The sequence below is a fragment of the Homo sapiens genome, chromosome 16, assembly GCF_000001405.40.
Source record: "Homo sapiens chromosome 16, GRCh38.p14 Primary Assembly".
In the NCBI taxonomy this organism is placed as follows: domain Eukaryota; kingdom Metazoa; phylum Chordata; class Mammalia; order Primates; family Hominidae; genus Homo; species Homo sapiens.
The window spans coordinates 19638497-19660764 of record NC_000016.10 but is presented as its reverse complement, the minus strand read 5'-3'; the positions used below and the strand labels follow the sequence as shown (position 1 = coordinate 19660764).

At 43.5% G+C, this 22268-nt stretch overlaps 1 protein-coding gene across 7 annotated transcripts in view; it reads right to left on the bottom strand.

Annotated features, from left to right (window-relative positions):
* VPS35L (VPS35 endosomal protein sorting factor like) overlaps nucleotides 1-22268 on the bottom strand; it is a 145461-nt gene that overhangs the window by 40399 nt on the left and 82794 nt on the right. For 3 of the 7 annotated variants that reach the window (NM_001365295.2, NM_020314.7, NM_001365294.2), the window contains 6 exons: nucleotides 20665-20750; nucleotides 18289-18369; nucleotides 15816-15879; nucleotides 12883-12981; nucleotides 10306-10383; nucleotides 8675-8789 (listed from right to left, as the gene is read on the bottom strand). In NM_001365295.2, the coding sequence (NP_001352224.1) occupies nucleotides 8675-8789; nucleotides 10306-10383; nucleotides 12883-12981; nucleotides 15816-15879; nucleotides 18289-18369; nucleotides 20665-20750 (523 nt within the window). Of the gene's footprint in view, nucleotides 1-8674; nucleotides 8790-10305; nucleotides 10384-12882; nucleotides 12982-15815; nucleotides 15931-18288; nucleotides 18370-20664; nucleotides 20751-22268 lie in introns of all 7 variants that reach the window. The other 4 variants (NR_158161.2, NR_158160.2, NM_001365293.2 and 1 more) reach the window with 2 other exon arrangements.

Genomic DNA, 22268 nt, shown 5'->3' with positions numbered 1-22268 from the left:
AACTGGATACAGGACAATCTCACCAAACACCCTCAATACATGATAAAAGGAATTCAGACTTAACTAGGACCTACAAGAGTAAATGCAACCTTTTGTATGGTTGGCATTGGTGATATGGAAAATGAGTCAATACATGAATCATAAGTGACAGTCAAGAAGTGATAACCCATCCCACCTTCAAAATTGGCATTTTGCTTTTTTTCAATAATGCATTAGGTCAGTGCTAATGGAAATCTTTACCACTCGTCAGTCATAAACTCCTGAGGCTGAACAAAACCTCAAAGTTAATTCATTTCACTCCTAGATCTTCAATCCATCAATCCATCAATCCAACTACCCTCCTAGGTAACTCAGGAAACTCAGACTGACAGCTGTCCTAGCCCAGGAAGATCGAAGAATAGAAAAACCATTATTTCTTCTTTATTTTTTTTTTTTTTGAGACAGGGTCACACTCTGTTGCCCAGGCTGGAGTGCAGTGGTGCAATCATGGCTCACTGCAACCTCCACCTCCCAGGTTCAAACAATTCTCGTGCCTTGTTAGCCTCCCGAGTAGCTGGGACTACAGGCGCACACCACCACGCCCGGCTAATTTTTGTATTTTTAGTAGAGACAGGGTTTTGTCATGTTGGCCGGGCTGGTCTCGAACTCCTAGCCTCTAGTGATCCACCGTCTCGGCCTCCCAAAGTGCTGGGATTACAGGCGTGAGCCACCGTGCCCGGCCAAAAATCGTAAGTTCTTAAGACAAGATGTTCCAAGGGTTGAAGACTCCCATCTCTTGAATGTGTATTAGTAAAGCAGGGTTCTGGCTATAAAAATCATCACTCTCTCTCAAGGTATACAAACCCCATTGCAAAACATCTTTACCCATCTTCAACATTTTCTATCTCCGTATGAGTTTAGGTTTGGATTGACAATATCAATATCATGGAAACTACCACATAAAATGCAACATCCAGACATATCTTCTTCCTGAAAACTTTGCCTGCAATGAAGATGTGCTGCCACCAAGTGATGGGGTGCCTTTGGCAAAGCCTTGTGGTCTCAGTGGCCAAGTTATCCACAGGCAAGTCACTGATAGAGATTTACCACTATCTATTACTAGCCTGTGTTTTTGTAATAGAACTTGTTATTCCAACAGCTAAGTTTGAGGACTTAGGGGCCACTATTTTGATATGTACATAAAGCAAGATGTAAAGAAATATGAATCTCCAGGAACAATTAAATACCTTATACATTAATGCTTAATTGCTATCAATGATGGCTTAATCTAACTTTGATTTTGCCACCTGGTTTATGCAGAATGCCTTTTAAGTTCATTCTGAATATCAACACTTAATGTGAAAAATCCACTTGGGACATATAAATTACTTCTTAGCTTCGGTAGTACCATCAGAAGGCTCCTGCACTCTCTCCCTCCCTCTACTCTCTGAACTGTCAAGGGCTCTCTCACTGAGCCAAGCATGCTCAGCCCATGTGTTACCTAACTCCTACCTCGGAGATACTACAGGATGACATACCTTTCTCTCATCCATGCAGTAGCTCATTTGAGGTTGCGTATTGTCTCTGTGAAAAGTAGGCTTAGATTTCCCTAAGCAGAAAGGATTAGGTATTCCTTATCTTAATTTTGGTTCTTTGTTTCCTAGTTTATCTAATGCTCAATCCGTAATAATTGACCTCCAGCAACCACGTGCACTTGGGATTAGAAATACAACCCTATGTTATGATATAGAAGAACTAACCTAATATAGAGAGGCACAGTGGTTAAATCCAGATAAGGCCACTCATTAGCTGGATGTTCCTGAGCACGCCTGAGCCTCAGTTTCTCCAGCTGCAAAATAAAGATAAACCACCTACCTAATAATACGTACTGAATAAAACTATTTTGCCAGGAGTTCAGACCTCTCAACAATTAGGCCCTCAACTATCACCTTAACTTGATCTCCTCCTCATTCCTTCCAGACGTACTGTTTTCTCAGCCTCCAGGCCTCAACCTAGAATGCCATACACCTTACTTCAGTATAATAACAAGATATTCCCTGACCTTCCAGGCTCTTCAATGCCACCTCTTTTTTTTTTTCCTCTTTCAAGTCAAGGGTTAATTCTCTCTGCTCTAAAATTCCCAAGCACATTTTATGTCCATAGTGCATGAGCTTTATCATGTGTCGCCTAGTGTAATAATTGTAAACAGATTTGCTCTCCCTGAATGGCCTGTCGTCTCTTTTTCTTGTTTTGTTTTGAGACACGGTCTCACCCTGTTGCCCAGGCTGGAGACAGTGGTGCGATCTTGGCTCACTGCAACCTCTGCCCTCCAGGCTCAAGCGATTCTCCTGCCTCAGCCTCCCAAGTAGCTGGGATTACAGGCACACACCACTACTGCCGGCTAATTTTTGTATTTTTAGTAGAGACGAGGTTTCATCATGTTGGCCAGGCTGGTCTTGAACTCTTGACCTCAAATGATCCATCCACTTCGGCCTCCCAAAGTGCTGGGATTACAGGTCTGAGCCACCGCGCCCAGCCCAGCCTGTAGTCTCTTTAAGTGCATTCCTGTTGCCCATACAATGCTTGGCACAGTGGGCCGCATGTAAAAGATGACCAGAAAATACTGACAGGAGGAAGAAACTGCAGGTTATAATTTAACTATTATAAGGGTCTGAGGGATTGTCAGGAGGAGACTTGCCCGTGCCCTTTTTCTGTGGGTTCCATGAGCAGCTGCCATCCTTCCCAGGCCTTGACACTCCCTAAGATGGATGGATCATGTGTGGACAGATGTGAACGTGGGCGACAAGCTTGATGCCATCTGCCCTGCTGTGAACTGTTCCAACTAAAATAACCTACTTTGTCTGCATTCACCAAAGAGGCCTCAGGGTTGGAGAAAACAATCAAATCAAACACTCTTCAAAGGATGTTCTGTTAACTAAACTAAATAGGAACTTAAACATAAATCGCCAAGACCTGGTAAATGTGTGAAAACTATTTTTCTCCTTCACAAGCCATTCTTGACTCTCCAGGAAGAGGAAATGCAAAATAATTTTTCTCTCCCACATCATGGCCCTGGCTATTTCCATTAGCCATTACAGTTTGTGGTAGCCAGGGGCTCCATATACAGGTTGAACATTCCTCATCTGAAATCCAAAGTGCTCCAAAATCTCAAACTTTTTGAGTAAACCAGACAGACAGGACCTCATGGAGGTGATGCGCTTACAGGGGGAAAAGCAGACAACTACTTACATATTTACTTGTTAAATAACAGTGATAAGCATAATGGAGAAAAAGCACAGGTGAGCGGATAATATATCGTACAGGATGACCTGACCTAACTTTCTGTTTATCTGCAGAAATGGGAAGGCCAAGGATGGTTTTTCTAAAGACATGACATATGAACCCAGCTCTGAAGGATGAAGATGCAAAAAATAAAAGAAAGTAAGTTCTAAAAGAACAGGGGAGATCCCTACAGAAGGTGGGAAAAGCATGATTATTAATGATAATAAAATCATTCTTGGTTGGGCACGGTGGCTCATGCCTGTAATCCTAGCACTTTGGGAGGCTGAGGCAGGTGGATCACCAGAGTTCAGGAGTTTGAGACCAGCCTGGCCAACATGGTAAAACCCCATTTCTACTAAAAAATACAAAAATTAGCCCGGTGTGGTGGTGCACGCCTGTAGTCCCAGCTATTTGGGAGGCTGAAGCAGGAAAATCACTTGAACTTGGGAGACGGAGGTTGCAGCGAGCAGAGATCACGCCACTGCAGTCCAGCCTGGACGACGGAGCAGGACTCTGCCTCAAAAAAAAAAAAAAAAAAAAACAAGTTCTTTTGACCACTATCTCTCTTTAATTGTTCTATCTTGTTTCAGCTTTGGAGGAACCGCAAGTCTTTTTAGCATAATTCATCAGTTTGTCTCAAAACAAAGATTAAGTTTCCTACAGCTTCCCCAATGCTTTGCATATGAAAAATAATCTGGCTTTCTAACTATAAAATCAAACAGCTCTCAACGTACTGTATACAGTTAGCTCCTAAAACCCATGGCATACTTTCATCATTTGAGAGATGTTTATACTAAGATAATACTTACTAAGCAGCTACTATGTGCCGGTGGGCCAAGTGCTCTAAGGCCATTTTCTCATTTAACACTCAACAGATAGGTACCACTGTCATCGTCTCCACTTTACAGATGGGGAAACAGGACAGAAAGGCCGAGTCATCCAAGAGCACCTGGCTTGTAGGTGGCAGAGTCAGGACTGGGACCAATGCAAGCAGAAGACTTGAAAGTCAGTACTAATTAGGGCCTCATCCCAACATTCTGCTGTTGGCCAAATACATCATGTAATTCCACATCTCCATGCCTTTGCTCAGGCCATTTACTCAACCAGGAATGCTAATCCTTCCTTCTTCCCTTCCCATGTTCTCATAAACACATGTTCTTCTTTTAAGACCCACCTTAAACATACTTCCATTGTAAAATGCCCCCATTTTCTTTTTTCTTTCTTTTTTTTTTTTTTTTTTGAGACAGAGTCTCGCTTTGTTGCCCAGGCTGGAGTGCAGTGGTGATATCTTGACTCACTGTAACCTCTGCCTCCTGGGTTCAAGCGATTCTCGTGCCTCAGCCTCCTGAATAGCTGGAATTACAGGAGTACACCACCACAACTGCCTAATTTTTTTAATTTTTAGTAGAGACGGGGTTTCACCATGTTGGCCAGGCTGGTCTTGAACTCCTGACCTCAGGTGATCCGCCCACCTCAACCTCCCAAAGTGCTGGGATTATGGGCATAAGCCACCACGCCTAGCCCGTAAAACACGTACCTTTTCTAGATTATAAACTGTAAAGATAAAGAAACAAAGGTAAAAATAAAGGAGAAAAGAACCTGCTCTTGCTGTGGCCTGGAAATAATTTTCTAGAAAGAGCCATTGACAAACAAGGGCAAGAAGTTACCTAGAGAAGGGACTGAAAGAAAAGAGAGACATTGCTAGGCCATCTCCAGTTAAGAAGCATCTGATCGACCAAATCTCTAGCTTGCAAGTCCTTCATTTCTCCTAAATACTCTGGGGTGGTGGGCACAAGCATGCGTGCCAAATCCCTGCACAATCCAGTCTATGCACAGCACCGGTGTGTACAAAGGAACAGAACCAGGCCTCCCCTGCAACAAGCCCTCATCAGCATCCTGCGCCAGCCTGCCTGAGGGTTCAACAGGAGTTTACTTGTCGGGATGGACCCAGCCTTGGGAAAGCCACAGCCTGCCAAAGAAGATACAACCAAGGCCGGATTAAGGGAGGCAACAAAATGAACTGGAGGGACGGGGACATTTTATAACCAGCTGCAAGGGGAGGATGTTTAGGGAGGCAAACAAAAGCAGCGCATTTCCATGAGCTTCATTTAATTTATATTTAGCCTTCTCATTCTCAGTAATTGAATGCATTATTTATTTTGGCCAGCAATTGCTGCCTGTGGCTTTCAGGAGAAAAATAATAGGCTTTTAAGGTTTAGCGCCACAGCATTTAGAGACTTGAGTAAAAATCATCAGATAAATTATTAAACATGAAGTGGACTCCACATTCCCACTCTCCTGCAGTAGCTGAAAAGTGACAGGGGAGACAGACAAGGAGCCCAGAGTCCTGACACCGAGGATGCTGTCTTTATCCATGCACAGTATATGGGGCTGTTCTCACACCAGTTGTCCCTCAGTGGGGACCGAGGACGTTATAGGAAGCACAACAGGGAGAAACTACTTACAGCTCTCCTTCAACAGTTCTTGGGAGCACCAAATCTTTGATAAGGGGGATACCTTTATCCAGGTAGAGAATTTTTGTTTTGCTTTTTCAAAAAAAATTATCATAAAGCCCTACATGGGATCTAATTATAAATTTCCCAAGATCCACAACATTCAGATCCATGGTCCTGATTTTATAACATGGGAAGAAGAAAGATCTAGGCTTCTAAAGCCTCCCCTTGCAGTTCTGGTAAGTGGTGTCATAGCTTTGGTATCTGCAGCTCACAATTTGTTCCTAGTATTGCAGGTAAAACCAACTCAGGTGTGCCTACCTAGGTCCACCATTCCTGAGCTTTTAAAGAAGGAACCCATTTATAAGCAGATTTAAAATTTCTAATATCCAAGGAAGCGTCTTCTAATTTTCATCCTGTGCATCACTAGGTTTTTGGTGGTGACTGTTAATTTTTGTTTTGTTTCTCACTAACCCATTGTTGTTTCTTTCTTTTTTTTTTTTTCAAGACAGTCTTGCTCTGTTGCTCAAGTGGTGCGATCTCGGCTCACTGCAACCTCCACCTCCCAGGTTCATGCGATTGTTGTGCCTCAGCCTCCCGATAACCCATCATTCTTACCAAAGCAAGCAGTAGGAGAAAGTTCCATGTTGACCTACACACAATGAAGACACGTGCCTGTCCTAGTGAGGACACGTGCCTGTCCTAGTGGGGAGAGGGGGTATCAGAGACAATAAGCAAGTAAACAAACACAGTAAGAAAGCATCGGATTGTGGAGTGTGCAACAATGATAATGAGGTTGATGCTGCAGGGGTGACAGAGTAGGGCAGGGCGGCTACTCTAGCTAGAGTGGCCAGCAGAGGCCTCCGTAAGGAGCTGTGGCTTGTTCTCACCATCTGCCTTGTAATTCAAAAAAAATACAACTATCTGGGGAAAGATCATTGTAGAAAGAGGGAAAAAAGCCACAAAGGCTCTGAACTGGGAGACCACTGAGTGTGTTCAAAGAACAGAAGCAGGCCTGTGTGACTAAAGCAAATGGGAGATGAGGATGCAGGTGGTTGAGGATGGAGGTGGGCAGGCACCAGCTCACAGGGGAAATCAAGAGGCAAGTGTTCAGCTGCACTCAGAAGCTACTGAAGTCCCCCATGAGTTAGAAGCAAAACCAAGCCGAGTTTTAAAGGTTCCTGGGCAGTAACCATGTATGAAGACTTCACTGCCCAGAGCTGCTCCAGTTGAATCATGACACAGATGATCCCCAAAACTTCCATGGCAGTGGTTCAAAGAATGGAGAAGTGATCACTCTCCAATTGGCCCAGAATGCCCTACGAAGACAATGGCAACAAGTGGTGAGGCGCCAGCCTTGGCATAATCTGTGCAGTTGTGTCAGGAAAAGAACCACCACTGAAAACCTCAGTCCACCTCCTATGGCGCTATGGAACTGCCCCGGCATTCCTTTAGGCTTCCCAGTCAATGCAGTGGTGAAGGGGCATGGCCTTGAGCCAGACAGATCAGGGGCTGAGAGCTGGTTCAGTGACTCAGGAGTGGATCTACCCCAAGCAAGTTAGTTGGCCACTCTCTCCCTCAGTTTACTCACCTGGGTAATAAGGCACCAGCCACAGCACCGGCCCCATGTGGCTTCTGGGAGGATGAAATGAGATAACTTGTGCAAAGGGCTTGCCACATAACAAACACTCCATAAATGTCGCGTAAAGATTTCTTTTACCCTCTGTGTTACGGCCTGCAGGGTGGGTACCCTGTTGCTAACCTGCCTGCAGGCCCTTGGCGTACACCGTTGCAGTAGGTAACCAGGGTGTCCTGCAGCAAACACTTGGGCTTTCCACCTGAGTGCCTTCTCTTGGCTCAAGTGTGGAGCAGGCCAGAATGCCAGGGGGTTAATATCCTAGAAGCAGCACTCTGTCAATGACAGATGAGAATAAAGGGAAAATCACCTGTCTTCCTTGCCCTTCAGATGGAGAAACACTGGCTGTCTGACAACACCTCCCAGATGGGAATGAGCTTCAGCTGCCCACAGGAACGACCTGTTCAATGGTTCCTATTTTTCTGGCTTCCTTTCCTTCCCTGTCTCATCTCACATCACTCTTCTGATATCACTGAGATCACCTTCTCCCAAATAAATGATCCTGAGCATCCTTGCCTAATGGATGGCTTTGGTGTCTAGTACGGAAAGACCAGTCTTGGGCAGAAACTATCTGTAACAGCAAACTGTAGGGTATTTGTTCTATCACAGATTAGATGGTACTTGTGTGTTTCTGGGGTTTCAAACACACAAACATCCACAACAACAACAAACAAACATGAATCTACCACTGTGAAGCAGTCCTCATGTCTCACTTTCTCCAGGTGTGCTGAGCTCAGGATGTCTGAGCTGCATGACCCGGTCTGTCCTAGACAGATTTAAGAAGGTTCTTACAGGAAGCTATCTGTGCTCTATGATCTGTCTGACTCTATAAATGCATATGTGTCCAATGTGCTTCCTAGCGGAGAAACAAATTTAAAACTCATCATTTATTCATCTTTTTTTTTCTTTCCTCCTTAAAGGAATCTCTCTTGGTTGAGCACAGTGGTTCAGGCCTGTAACCCCAGCACTTTGGGAGGATCATTTGAGCCCAGGTGGGAAGCAGGAACATTTGAGCCCAGGAGTTCAAGACAGGCCCAGGCAACAAAACGAAACTCCATCTCTATAAAAAATAAAAATAAAAACATTAGCTGTGTGTGGTGGTGTGCGCCTGCAGTCCCAGCTACTCAGGAGGACTGCTTGAGCCCAGGAGTTCGAGGTTACAGGAAACTATGATTGCACTACTACATTCCAGCCTGGGTGACAGAGTGAGACTCTGTCTCTAAAAAAAGAAATCTTTGTCTCTCTCTACACACATACGCACACACCTGAGTCAGTTTTCCTAAGCAGCAAGGGAGTGCCCGAGATGAGAGAATGATGGACTTACCTTGGGAGAGGCACTGGTTGGCCAAGGCCACCTGACCAGAATGCAGGTAGAGATTGAGACGTGTGAAGATGCCCGCCAGGGAGGGGATGGTGATGAAGCAGTAGGCAACACAGGCCTAGGAGAAGGGAAGAAACATTAACGCTAGCAGTGCAACGGTGGCAGAATCATACTCCTGTTTTCATCCCTCATGTATTTCCAAGGAAAGAAACTTACAACAGTGAATCTCCACATTCTGAGCCCCATTTTCCCCTCTTGTACAACTCTGCTCTGATGACCCTCTAGGAGGACAGGGGTGTGAGGGGAGTGAGTGATAATGCAGGAAAAACAAATCCTCACCCACCATCACGGGAAGTAAATACGTAACACCTAACATTGATAAATTGAGAGACAGCTGTTTAAACCAATTGCTTAAAAATATGGAGGTAATTAGAAACAGTTGCTAAAGAGTTTGAGGTGGCTAACTGAGGAAAGAGAAGCAAGGTGACAAAGGGCAGAGCCAGGATGCTTATTTTTTACTGTAATCTTTTCAGTATAATTTCATGTTTAAAAACACAGACACATATTTCTTTCTTAAAATTCTGAGCAGGGCTGGGTGCGGTGGCTCACACCTGTTATCCCAACACTTTGGGAGGCTGAGGCAGGAGGATCACTTGAGGCCAGGAGTTCAAGACCAGCCTGGGCAACCTAGTGATATGCCCCATCTCTACAAAAAACAAAAAAATTACCCGGATATGGTGGTTACAGTGAGCTATGATGGTGCCACGGCACTCCTGCCTGGGTGACAGAGCAAGACCCTGTCTCCAAAAATAAATAAATGAATGAATAGCTAAATAAATTTTGAGCAGCATCACATCTGATAAAATTTTCAGCTTCAAGAAGCTGAAAATGATTTTTCAAAGTTTAACATCAGGCCAGGTGTGGTGGCTCACGCCTGTAATCCCAGCACTTTGGGAGGCCGAGGCGGGCAGATCACTTGAGGACAGGAGTTCGAAACCAGCCTGGCCAACATGGTGAAACCCCCATCTCTACTAAAAATACAAAAATATTAGCTGGGCATGGTGGCACGCGTCTGTAATCCCAGCTACTCAGGAGGTTGAGGTAGGAGAATCGCTTGAACTTGGGAGGCGGAGGTTGCAGTGAGCCGAGATCACGTCACTGCACTCCAGCCTGGGTGACAGAGCAAGACTCCGTCTCAAGAAAAACAAAAACAAAGTTGGGCATCATTATTATCTAGAGGAAAAAAGGCCTTTCAGTTACAAGAACAATATTATTATACATATTTTTATATTAGAAAACTATTTTATATTTTATAATGTTATAAAATATGTCTTATATTAGTATATTAGAGAAAATGAAAGCTAATTCAGCTGGCACATAAAAATGCAGATCCATCGCTCATTCACCTTCCCCACAACACGTATTAAAATTCAGACTCATTTAACCATTTCTCTTGAAAACATTAGAAAATGGCTCATCCCATAGATACAGGGAAAAATTAATCTGAAAAATCAATACTAAACCATTCTTATCATGACATACTCATCTTTTTCTGGGAAATGTAATTTAGTAACCTGCAAACTAAACAGCCCACTGGAGTTCGAGGTCCAACAGTCCTTATCTTAAGAACATACCCGGACAAATGCAGCTGTCTTTCTGGAATGATTTCCTTTCATTACTTTTCTTGTCTCCATTGCCAACCGGTTCACACTCTGAATTTATTAATAAAATAGAAATGGTAATGAAGCGATGGCCGATTCAGATGAGTGTCTTCCATAGAGATCTCAACATTAACTACATACAGGTCAATGAGAACAAGCTTTCTAGGACCAAGACTGGTTAGCACTAAACCTTGAAATGCCAAAGGGGTCATCAGGCCTGATCCAATCATGGCTTGAGCAAACATCTCCAAGAGGGTAGAACAAAAGGCAGTGTTGGCTACGTCAGTCATGCCTTTTGATCAGCATTTTAGTGACCATTTTCTGGCTTAATGAATAGCTGGGGCTCACTTACTCCATTTCCAGAAATCCTACCACACCAAAGTTTAAGAATTTAGAAATCTTAAGAGACAACTCCAAAGCACACCATTTAGACAATCAGACCACACCATTCAGCTATACAGTACCAACAATAAGAACAATAATGATAGTAGCCACATCATCACTAATAGTGTTCCAAGCACTATTTAAGAGCTATACATTCATTGGTTCACTTAAGCTTCATAATCCCAGGGTGGATACTATTACCTCCCCTGATTTCCAGATAGTTTCTAAATTTAGGTCTTAAGTTTAGTTGTGCTAAATAACTTGCTAACCAGCAAACAAATACATATGAAAGTTATTCTCCTTGAATAGACATGAAATAATGAAAGAGCCTTAGGGAACCCTTCCACAGATATAAAAAGTTTGGACCTGTGGTTCCCAAACGGTGCACCATGGCACCCTGGGGTGCTGCAGCAAACTCACAGGGGCGCCACCGTTTTTTAGGGAATATTTGTTTGTCGCACATTGTAAACAGCAATACTTGTTTGTTGCACGTTGTAAAAAGCACTGGTGCAAGGCTGATTTGATGATGGACTGCTTTACATCCCTTATAGCCACATCATATATTTGTAAAACTTGTTTTTCGTGGCTACTGTGATCAAAAGCAAGTTTAATCGCTGTGCAAGAATAAATGTAAAAAACAGTGAATGTAAAACAAGAAATAAGAATAGCATCACCAATCTAACTCCAAAATTTTATGAAGCTGTGATATGCTTCATAAGTACACACCCATCATTACTAATTATGGTTAAGAAAAAAATTGGCAGGGCTTGATGTTTATGCCTGTAATCCTAGCACTTTGGGACGCCGAGGCAGGTGGATCACCTTAGGTTAAGAGTTCAAGACCAGCCTGGCCAACATGGTGAAACCTCATCTCTACTAAAAAATACAAAGAATTAGCCGGGCATGGTGGCAGGTGCCTGTAATTATAGCTACTCGGGAGGCTGAGGCAAGAGAATCACTTGAACCCGGGAGGTGGAGGTTGCAGTGAGCCAAAATCGCACCATTGCACTCTAGCCTGGGCAACAAAGCAAGAACTCCAGCTCAAAAAGAAAAGGAAAAAAAAGTATTATTTTTCTTTCAATTTATATATATACTTTCTTCAAATGGCTGTCAAGTTGTTAGACATAAATACTTAAGTTGTCTGAACCTAACTTTTTTTTTTTTTTTTTTTTTTGAGATGGAGTCTCCCTTTGTTGCCTAGGCTAGAGTGTAGAGTGCAGTGGCGCGATCTCTGCTTACTGCAACCTCCACCTCCCAGATTTAAGCGATTCTTCTGCCTCAGACTCCCAAGTAGCTGGGACAACAGGTGCCTGCCACCCCGCCTGACTAACTTTGGTATTTTTAGTAGAGACAGCATTTCACCATATTGGGCAGGCTGGTCTCAAACTCCTGACCTCAAGTGATCTGCTAGCCTCAGACTCCCAAAGTGCTGGGATTACAGGTGTGAGCCATCACATCCAGCCTGAACCTAACTTCTTAATAAACAGGGCTGTTATTAATTCTTTTGGTCTGAGGGCACCATAAAAAGTTACTGAGAGTTGCCATGATCCAAGAAAGTAGGGAACCTCTTGTTACGTAAGAAGGGGCTCCTTCTGGTTAGATTTCTGTAACTAATCATTGTAAATCACTTACCTCTGTTGCTGGCAGGCAGAAATGGGAAAATGCAAATCTCACAGAAAAACAGATCAATAAAACCAAAGTTGTAAGTTTATTAACCTTTGAGAAACCACCTTTCATACCATAGAGAAGAGTAACAAAATAGGACCAGAAAAAACCCAGATTAAGGGTGGGCGCAGTGGTTCTTTCCTGTAATCCCAGCATTTTGGGAGGCCAAGGCAGGAGGAATGCTGGATGTGAGGAATTTGAGACCAGCCTGGGCAACACAGAGACCCCATCTCTCAAAAAACAACACAAAACAAAATTTAAAATAGCTGGGCATCGTGGCTTGAGCTGGTAGTCCCAGCTACTCAGGAGGCTGAGACAGGGAGAATTGCTTGAGCCCAGGAGTTCAAGGCTACAGTGAGCTATGATTGCGCCACTGCACTCTAGCCTGGGTGACAGAGTGAGACCCTGTCTCTAATAAAATAAAATCAAAATAAATGATTGGGATGTAGATGATCAATAAATATTTACTGAGAGAAGAAACTAATGAATGAAAATACTTACATGAATCAACTGCACAAGAACAGGCTCCAGATTGCAAAACATCGACCTGGACTCAACATAAAAACTCAGCTGTTGTTCAAAATCACGGCCAAAGGAAACCTAGAATCAAGGAGAAAGACGCTGAAAGGGACAGTGGTATTTTTAGAGAGAACGCAGGCACATGGTATGACTGAAATATTATTATTGCCACCTCATCTTTATGACGTGGGCACTGGACTAGAACCTAAGAAGTCGAAGGGTATAAAACAGAAGCTCAGAGTGTAAGCAGAATTTTCCAGACTCTGAAGGAAACCACTGGAAAGGGAATAATGGGATATTGTTTGTCAGCTGTGGCCTTTTCACAGAACATAAATGTGGTTATTGGGGGCCCCTTGTCAGAAGGTTTGCCATCGTAACAGTCACACCTTTCTGCTTCCTGATGGGGACCCAACCTTGGCAGCTCACTGGTGGCTACAGAAGCCATAGATGGAAGTTTTTCCACCATTAAACATCCTCTCTTCTCCTATTTCTTCAAATTTATGAATAGCTGGTTAGTAAGAAAAACTTTACTGTACATCAATCATTTTTGTCCAGATGAGGTTTAACATTGCCATTTCCATTACAGCTATCATGTTTCATATCTGATTTCCTTATATTCTTTTCCATAATAACTTGGTAACTTTCAGACAATGCCGTAAAAAGATAAATACCACATGATGAGTACAAAAAGCAAGGGCAAAGGAGAGCGACTTGGGAAAATCCATATGTCTGTTTCCTAACACGGGAATTGAAAGGCTAATCCTGAATTTTCATCAAAATTGATATTTTACCCGCAGAGTCAGGTAGACTAATCAACCCGCACTATTGAACAAGTCAGAATTTCAAGGTTATTTTCAAAGTGATCTCGTCATTTTCATCTCAGTCAGCTTTGGTCCTGACTTTTCTATTAAAATAGAAGATATTTGCAGCAGTTGGTGTTTTGGCTTAGAGCACCCAGAATGAAGGTGAAGACTGTTCAGGCTGGGATAGTATAATGGTGGGATGTTCCCAAAGGAGGCTGCAGGAAACCTTCCCACTGTGCTTGCCCTTCTGCAATGTCTCTGTGGACTACCCCCCATCAAAAGGCAGAGCCTCTTCCCCTCCAGACTGGGTCCCCTCAAGACTGTGATTTGCTTTGACCCACAGATTGCAGTAGAATATGGCAGGGGTTTACTGTGTGATTTCTTTTTTTTTTTTCCCAAGACAGAGTTTTGCTCTGTTGCCCAGGCTGGAGTGCAGTGGCATGGTCTTGGCTCACCGCAACCTCTGCCTCCCGGGTTCAAGCGATTCTCCTGCCTCAGCCTCCCGAGTAGCTGGGATTACAGGCATGCACCACAACACCCGGCTAATTTTGTATTTTTAGCAGAGACAGGGTTTCACCATGTTGGTGAGGCTGGTCTCGACCTGACCGCAGGTGATCCACCTGCCTCAGCCTCCCAAAGTGCTGGGATTACAGATGTGAGCCACCGCGCCTGGCCTCACTGTGTGATTTCTAAGCCTTGGCCTTAAAATGCCTTGCTGCTTCTGTCTGTGCCTTCATAGAAGGCAGCACCAAGTAAGAGAGCTCAACTGGAATCACTGACTGAGAACAGTGGTGAGAAAGAGAGGACATGGAAGAAAACCAAGATGCCCCAGCCCATATCCAGCACCAAAACCCTGGAGAAGGGAACAAGGCCACTGTGGATCCTCCAGCCCAATCGTGCCACGCCAGTGCCACACCACACTCCCTGTAGCAGCCTGGTTACCAAGCTGATCCGCAGAGTTTGAGAACTAATAAAAAACTCATGCTGGGCGCAGTGGCTCAGGCCTGTAATCCCAACACTGTGGGAGGCCAAGGCTGGAGGATTGTTTGAAACCAGGAGTTGGAAACCCCTGTCTCGACCCCCCCAAAAAAAACAGCAAAAAAAAGCCCTGTTATTTAAAGCCACTAAGTTTTGGGATGAGCTGTTACTCAGCAGTAGATAAGTAAAACAGATGGGGAGTGGATATCTGGCGTTTTGCCTGCCCGGCATAGTTTCCATCACCGTCTGATGATCTGCATCAGCTGCTTCAGGACACACCTTCTTTCCACTCTCGGCCCTCCTGACTCAGGTCACCCAGGTGTGCTTGGGGCCACGACCCATGTTAATCCAAAGAGACTCAATCCCAGGACTTTGCTGGAATCCCACCTGCTGGGCTGCAGAGCTGGGGGGGATGGAAACCTGGAGCTCTGGTGGGGCAAGCCCAGCTGAGCCGGAGGCCAACAGGGCAGAGCCCAGGGCTAAAGACAGACAGGGGGCTGGGTGCAGTGGCTCACGCCTGTAATCCCAGCACTTTGGGAGGCCGAGGCGGGCGGATTACGAGGTCAGCAGATCGAGACCATCCTGGCTAACACAGTGAAACCCCGTCTCTACTAAAAATACAAAAAATTAGCCGGGCGTGGTGCCGGGCGCCTGTAGTCCCAGCTACTCGGGAGGCTGAGGCAGGAGAATGGCGTGAACCCGGGAGGCGGAGCTTGCAGTGAGCTGAGATCGCGCCACTGCACTCCAGCCTGGGCGACAGAGCGAGACTCCATCTCAAAAAAAAAAAAAAAAAGAAAAAAGACAGGGAAGGCAGGTCCTGATGACATCCCGGAGACCCTGAGCCCGGCTGCTGCTTTGGAGAGTTCCAGCCCCTGGACTTTTTGTCACATGAGCCAAGAAATCCCTCCTCCCATCACCCTCCCGCCCCCCACCTTTTTCCTCTTAAGCCAGTTTGTCTTGGCTCTCTTTGCCCCCAGGGGAGTCCTGGCTAATGTAAGATGTTTTCTAATTTCATTTTATCTCACTAAGAATGAAAAGCACCAGAGAACATAATGTTAACTGCTTTCGCCAACATAAGGATAAACAATTACATCACACTTCCAAGTGCACTGAAACTTCTTCCCTAATACTTACCATTTTTATAAATCCATTAATCAAATATGACAGCATTCTTTTCTCATCCTCAAGAGTGAGTGCACTAAAATCAATAATTGTACATAATTAACACGGAGGTAATAGATGAAAGTTTCTAAAGAAAAAAATACACAAGGGGTAAGTAATTTAACAGGTAAGAACATTTTGCATTTTCTAGATTTAAAAAACTGCCAACAGGCTGCTTATTTTTCCTTTGATAAAAATACATAATCACAATTAACATAATTTAAATATGTTTCTCATCTCCCTCAAATATGCTGTTCTCAAGATAGATTTATTAACAAGAAAAGAAAAGGTAACTTTCACTTCTTTGGAACTTGGGCAGCAAGGTCTAATGTCAAATTTTGTATTTCAGGGAAATTTCATTGAATATTTTATTTAAAAAATCTCCAGCGGGGTGTGCTGGTTCACACCTGTAATCCCAGCACTTAGGAAGGCAGAGGTAGCAGGTTCGTTTGAGCCTAGGAGTTGGAGATCAACCTGGGCAACATGACGAGACCCCGTTCTCCCCAAAAAGGAAACAGAAATATTTCCAATGTACAGCAAAGTTGAAAGAATTTTCCAGTAAACACCCATACACCATCGAAATCCTGCCATCACCATTTTACTTGTTTTACACATAATTATCCATTCCCCTCTCCATCCATCAATCCATCTTATTTTTTTGATACATTGTAAAGTAAATCTCAGGTCTCAGTTGCTTCTATTTAATAGAAAATGTAACACAAATATAAATAAGAAAAAGTCATTACAGTTTTGATTATACTTGGATAGTTAAATAAATAGTTATTTGGGGAATAAATAGTTCCCCAAAGTTATTTAAAAAAAAAATTTTTAAGAGCCCAGAGAAAACAGGAGTCAAGGTTTTTGTTTGTTGGTTTGTTCTCGGAGAAAATGTTTTGGCAAAGATTGCCCACTGTCCTTCAATACAAATGCCCACTTCGTTCTTTTTTGTTTTTGTTTTTGTTTTGAGATGGAGTTTCGCTCTTGTTGCCCAGGCTGGAGTGCAATGGCATGATCTTGGATCACTGCAACCTGTGCTTCCCAGGTTCAAGCGATTCTCCTGCCTCAGCCTCCCAAGTAGCTGGGATTACAGGCACGTTCCAAGGCGCCCAGCTAATTTTTTGTATTTTTTTTTTTTTTAAAGTAGAGACGGGGTTTCACCATGTTGGCCAGGCTGATCTCAAACTCCTGACCTCAGGTGATCCACTCATCTTGGCCTCTTAAAGTGCTGGGATTACAGGTGTGAGACACCATGCCCAGCCCCACTTTGTTCTTAGAACAACATTCCCTAGCCTCCTTCCCAGCTAGGGGTGGCTATGGGACAGTTCTGAACAATGGGATATGATGTGTGAGCCTTCCCAGCTTTGTCCCTAAAAGAAAGCTGCTGTTCCCCAATGCCCACAGGCTGGAACGTGGACATGGTTGAGGTACATCAGCTTCCAGGAAGAAGATAAGGACAACACCCCAGATAGACTGGGAGAACAATAAGACAGAAATAACCTGGGTCCCTGGATGATGTTTGAAAGAAGAGCTGCCCTACCCCTACCTTCTGGTCTGTCTACTATGCACAATTTTAACAAGAGAGAAATCAACATTCTATTTTACTTAAGCCAAAACCCAATGTCTCACGAATCTAAGTGCCTTTCTGGATGCTTTTTGTGTCTTTATTTCTATTTTTGTCCAACTAAAGTCTACCGGTTCCATTTTTATGAAATGCCTCGACACTTTGATTTTTGTAACTACCCATGAATTTGAAAGCACAAAAAATCATGGAAGTGAAGATTCTAAAATGCAGAGAAAACAAAGAAGAAATACAGTTCATCTTGTTGATGGTTAAGTTCCAAAACAATTTTCTCCATTCTTGTAACATTTTCCAGTAAATCAAGTTGCTGTGTTTAAAAATTCTTGGGGGACTAAAATTTCAGCCACAAATAAGCAGGAATTGCCCTAAGCACAGTCAAACGAAAACATATTTTAAAAATAAACAAACAAAAACCAGAAGGCAGTGACTATTCAGCCTTTGACTGAAAGGTAATGCCTGTGGATAGGTCTCAGCCTCAAGCAGTTTCATTTGAATTTCAAATAATTGGCTAATATAGAGATGAAATAAAAAGGCTATATTACTGGATGAGTGAGCTCATTATTACACTATCTGCTGCTCTCAGAAATCTCCAAGAGACATGGAGTTTGAGTTCACTTGAATGGAACCAGCTTTTTACCCGCAACATAAACTCCTTTCTAACAACATCTGCCACGTCGCTTTCTCAAGAAGGTTAACCTCAGCCTCCTTCCTCTCCTGGATTGGAATGTCCTCGTTAGCAAAAATCTTAATACTCCCAATAAAGTAATATTATTCACAGTGGCAGCTTAAAGCAGTCATTCCCTAATGTCCTATTAGGTGGCATTAAGACCCAATCCATGTTATATTTCAGCTGTAAGCATGGCTTACTTCACAGAGTCATGCATGGTCTTGCAAACATGCAAAAGGGCATTCAAGATGACCGGGTCCTTGGTGGGCTCTTGTTGATGCCTAGGAGACATTTAAAGATAAAAGTCAAAGTTTTGTCCACTGACAGCACTGCAAGAGTGGATTCAGTTTTCATCCACTGTACACACTTGAAAAGCAGCAAATTATCCAGCTGGCATTTCACCCAGCCCAGTTTACCAGTAACGAGCCATGTTCTCTGGTTGTCTCAGAATTCTTTTTTAAACTTTTGAGACAGAGTCTCACTCTGTCACCCAGGCTGGAGTGCAGTGATGTGACCTCAGCTCACTGCAGCCCCTGCCTCCTGGGTTGGAGTGATCCTCCTGCCTCAGCCTCCCAAGTAGCTGGGATTACATACGTGCGTCACCACACCCAGCTAATTTTTGTATTTTTGGTAGACACAGGGTTTCACCATGTTGGCCAGGCTGCTCTCGAACTCCTGGCCTCAGGTGATCCACCTGCCTCAGCCTCCCAAAGTATTGGGATTACGGGCGTGAGCCACCGCACCTGGCCCAGAATTCTTTAAATAACAAGTTTGCTCTTCTATACACATGATAACTTCTCCTAACTGCAAAATCACAGAAAAACTGTTCCCCTTCCTAAACCAGGTGGGCTAAGGGCAAACCTGTTTTTGTTTGTTTGTTTTTAACTATGCTTCTTATACCTTCTGAAGCTGCCCAAAACCTGTCACTGTGTTCTTAACAGGCGAATTTTGCCAGGCAAAATTATTCATTTGGTTTTTCAAATAATATAAAAGGGCAAGCTCTTAAAACAAATCTTTAGGTAAGTAAATTAGGTATATTTATTCCAAGCATATTAATTAGGAATTAATATTAATCCTTAGGAAGGAATTAATCTTTTAGAAAGATGACAAGAAAAGCTTAAAACATTTGAGCAATATCAAACTCAATTTTCCAAAGTGAACCATATCTATACACCTAATATTTAAAGTAACTAGCTTTTTTTTCTTAACCCTGTCCTAAAAAATAATATATTGTAAATGAAATCATATTAAACTAGTTATAAACTGCCTAATACATTTAAAATCAATATATAACTCTAAAAATAAAAACAGGCCGGGTGTGGTGGCTCATGCCTGTAATCCCAGCACTTTGGGAGGCCGAGGCGGGTGGATCACTTGAGGCCAGGAGCTCGAGACCAGCCTGGCCACCATGGCGAAACCCTGTCTCTATAAAAAATACAAAAAAATTAGCCGGACGTGGAGGTGGGTGCATATAATCCCAGCTACTCGGGAGGCTGAGGCAGGAGAATTGCTTGAACCCAGGAGGTGAAGGCTGCAGTGAGCTGAGATCGCACCATTTCACTCGAGCCTGGGTGACAGAGCAGGGTTCTGCCTCAAAATAAATTAAAAAAATAATAATAAAATAAAAATAAAACCCTAGCTAGGCGAGGTGGCTCACGCCTATAATCCCAGCACTTTGAGGTGGATGGATGGCTTGAGCCCAGGAGATGAAGACCAGCCTGGGCAACATAGAGAGACCTCATCTCTACAAAAAATGCAAAAATCAGCTGGGTTGTAGTGGGGCACACCTGTAGTCCCAGCTACCTGGGAGGCTGAGGTGGGAGGATCACCTGAGCATGAGAAGGTCAAAGCTGCAGTGAACCGTAATTGTGCCACTGCACTCCAGGCTAGATGACAAAGTGAGAACTTGTCTCCAAACAAAAACAAAAACACCTTTTTTCCATGCACCACCTTAAAATTATTTCATGTACCACTAGCAGTCGGGCAGTTTTGGGAAACACAGACTTAATCAAAAAAATGAAAAGAACTAAATTTGATTTTTTTTCTTTTTTGTTAAAGAGCTAAATTTGAAAACTGATCACACATTAGTCAGCTACATAACTAAACACTGAAGATGAAAACCTTTCTAGCACCGGTGCCTTCTTCGTAAGTATGTATGTCCTGATTTGTATCCTTAAAAATGTTACTCTTGAGGGAATTTATCAAAAGACTGCTCCTTCTAAAAACATATCAAAAGTAAAATGGAGCTGCTGGCCAGGCACATGATTACACTTGCTACTCTGTCTTCTTAAACACGAATGACAAACTTTTATCAGACTGCTGCTTTTAATGTGGCTTTCCTTCCAGTGTGGTTTTCTGGCCAGGCTCATGATAACACTTGCTACTCTGTCTTCTTAAACACGAATTACAAACTTTTATCAGACTGCTGCTTTTAATGTGGCTTTCCTTCCAGTGTGGTTTTCTGTATGAAATACGTACACATCACTCGGCCTCAAAGTGCAAGAACTGATTTTTTATCAACAGGTTTCACAAGGACATTGGGAATCAAGGCTTCTGCTGCACGCAGTGGCACTCACTTGATAAAGGCGTCCATGATGCATTTGCAAACCTCCACCCGCACACTCTCTTTTTGGAACATGTCCAGAAACGGCAGAAATTTTTCCTATAAATAAAGCAAGCACTCTATATGCAAATGACACAAGTTATTGGAAGGAAGGAATCTGTGGGTCTCTTTTTCTGTGGAGTTCAAAGAAGCAGAACAGAGGTTCATCTCTCTGAGTCGGGTCAGATGAGGACTCCTCTGAAATCAGGGAGAGGACCTGACTGGGCTTGTAAAAAGCTGTTACTGGGCCGGGCACAGTGGCTCACACCTGTAATCCCAGCACTTTGGGAGGCTGAGGCGGGTGGATCACTTGAGGCCAGGAGTTCAAGACCAGCCTGGCCAACATGGCGAAACCCTGTCTCTACTAAAAATACAAAAATAAACCAGGCATGGTGATGCATGCCTGTAGTCCCAGCTACTTGGAAGGCTGAGGCAGGAGAACTGCTTGAACTCGGGAAGGCGGAAGTTGCAGTGAACCGAGATCACTCCACTGCACTCTAGCCTGGGTGACAGAGCAAGACTCTATCTCAAAAATAAACAAACAAACAAAATAAAAAGCTGTTACTATTAAAACAACTTATATGCATTCCAGGGATTGGTGCTGGGACCAGTTAACATTTTGGTGAGCCATCCAGGCAACCTTTGATGACCACAAGCTTTTCTGGGCAAGGCAGACTTCAGTCTTTTTGTGATTATATTGATGAGCAATGGAAGAAGAGTCAGAGTAGAGCTGTTCACAGATGGCCTCGAAATTGGACCGCCTGGCTCTGAATACTAACCTCGGTGACTGTGTGGCTGTAAGCAAGTTACTCTACCTCTTCCTGCATCAGTTTTCTCATCTGTAAAGTGGGAATATGGTAGTTGCTCCCTTATCTGCGGTTTTGCTTTCCATAGTGTCAGTTATCCTCGGTTAACGGCCATCCGAAAATATTAAATAGAAAATTCTAGAAATAAGCACTTCATTCATTTTCATTTTTATTTTTATTGCATTTTATTTGTTTGAAACAGAGTTTCGCTCTGTTGTCTAGGCTCGAGTGCCCTGGTGCAATCTCGGTTCACTGCAACCTCAGCCTCCCCAGTAGCTGGGACTACAGGCATGCACCACCACACCTGGCTAATTTTTTGTATTTTTAGTAGAGACAGGGTTTTGCCATGTTGGCCAGGCTGGTCTGGAACTCCTGGTCTCAGGTGATCTGCCTGCCTTGGCCTCTGAAAGTGCTGGGTTTACAGGTGTGAGCCACTAAGCCCAGCCCCATTCATTTGAAATTGTGCATTGCTCAGAGTAGTGTAATGAAATCTCACGCTATACTGTTCTGTCCCTCCCAGGTTGTGAGTCATCCCTTTGTCTAGCGTCTCCACATTGTAGATGCTACCTGCTCGTTAGTCACTTAGCAGCTGTCTTTGTCATCAGATTCACTGTCATGGTATCACAGCATTTTTGTGTTCAAAGAACACTTATTTTACTTAATGATGCTCCCAAAGTGCAAGAGTAGCAATGCTGGCATATTGTTATAACTGTTCTATTTTAGCTATTGTTGTCAGTCTCTTACTGTGCCTAATTTATATATGAAACTTTAC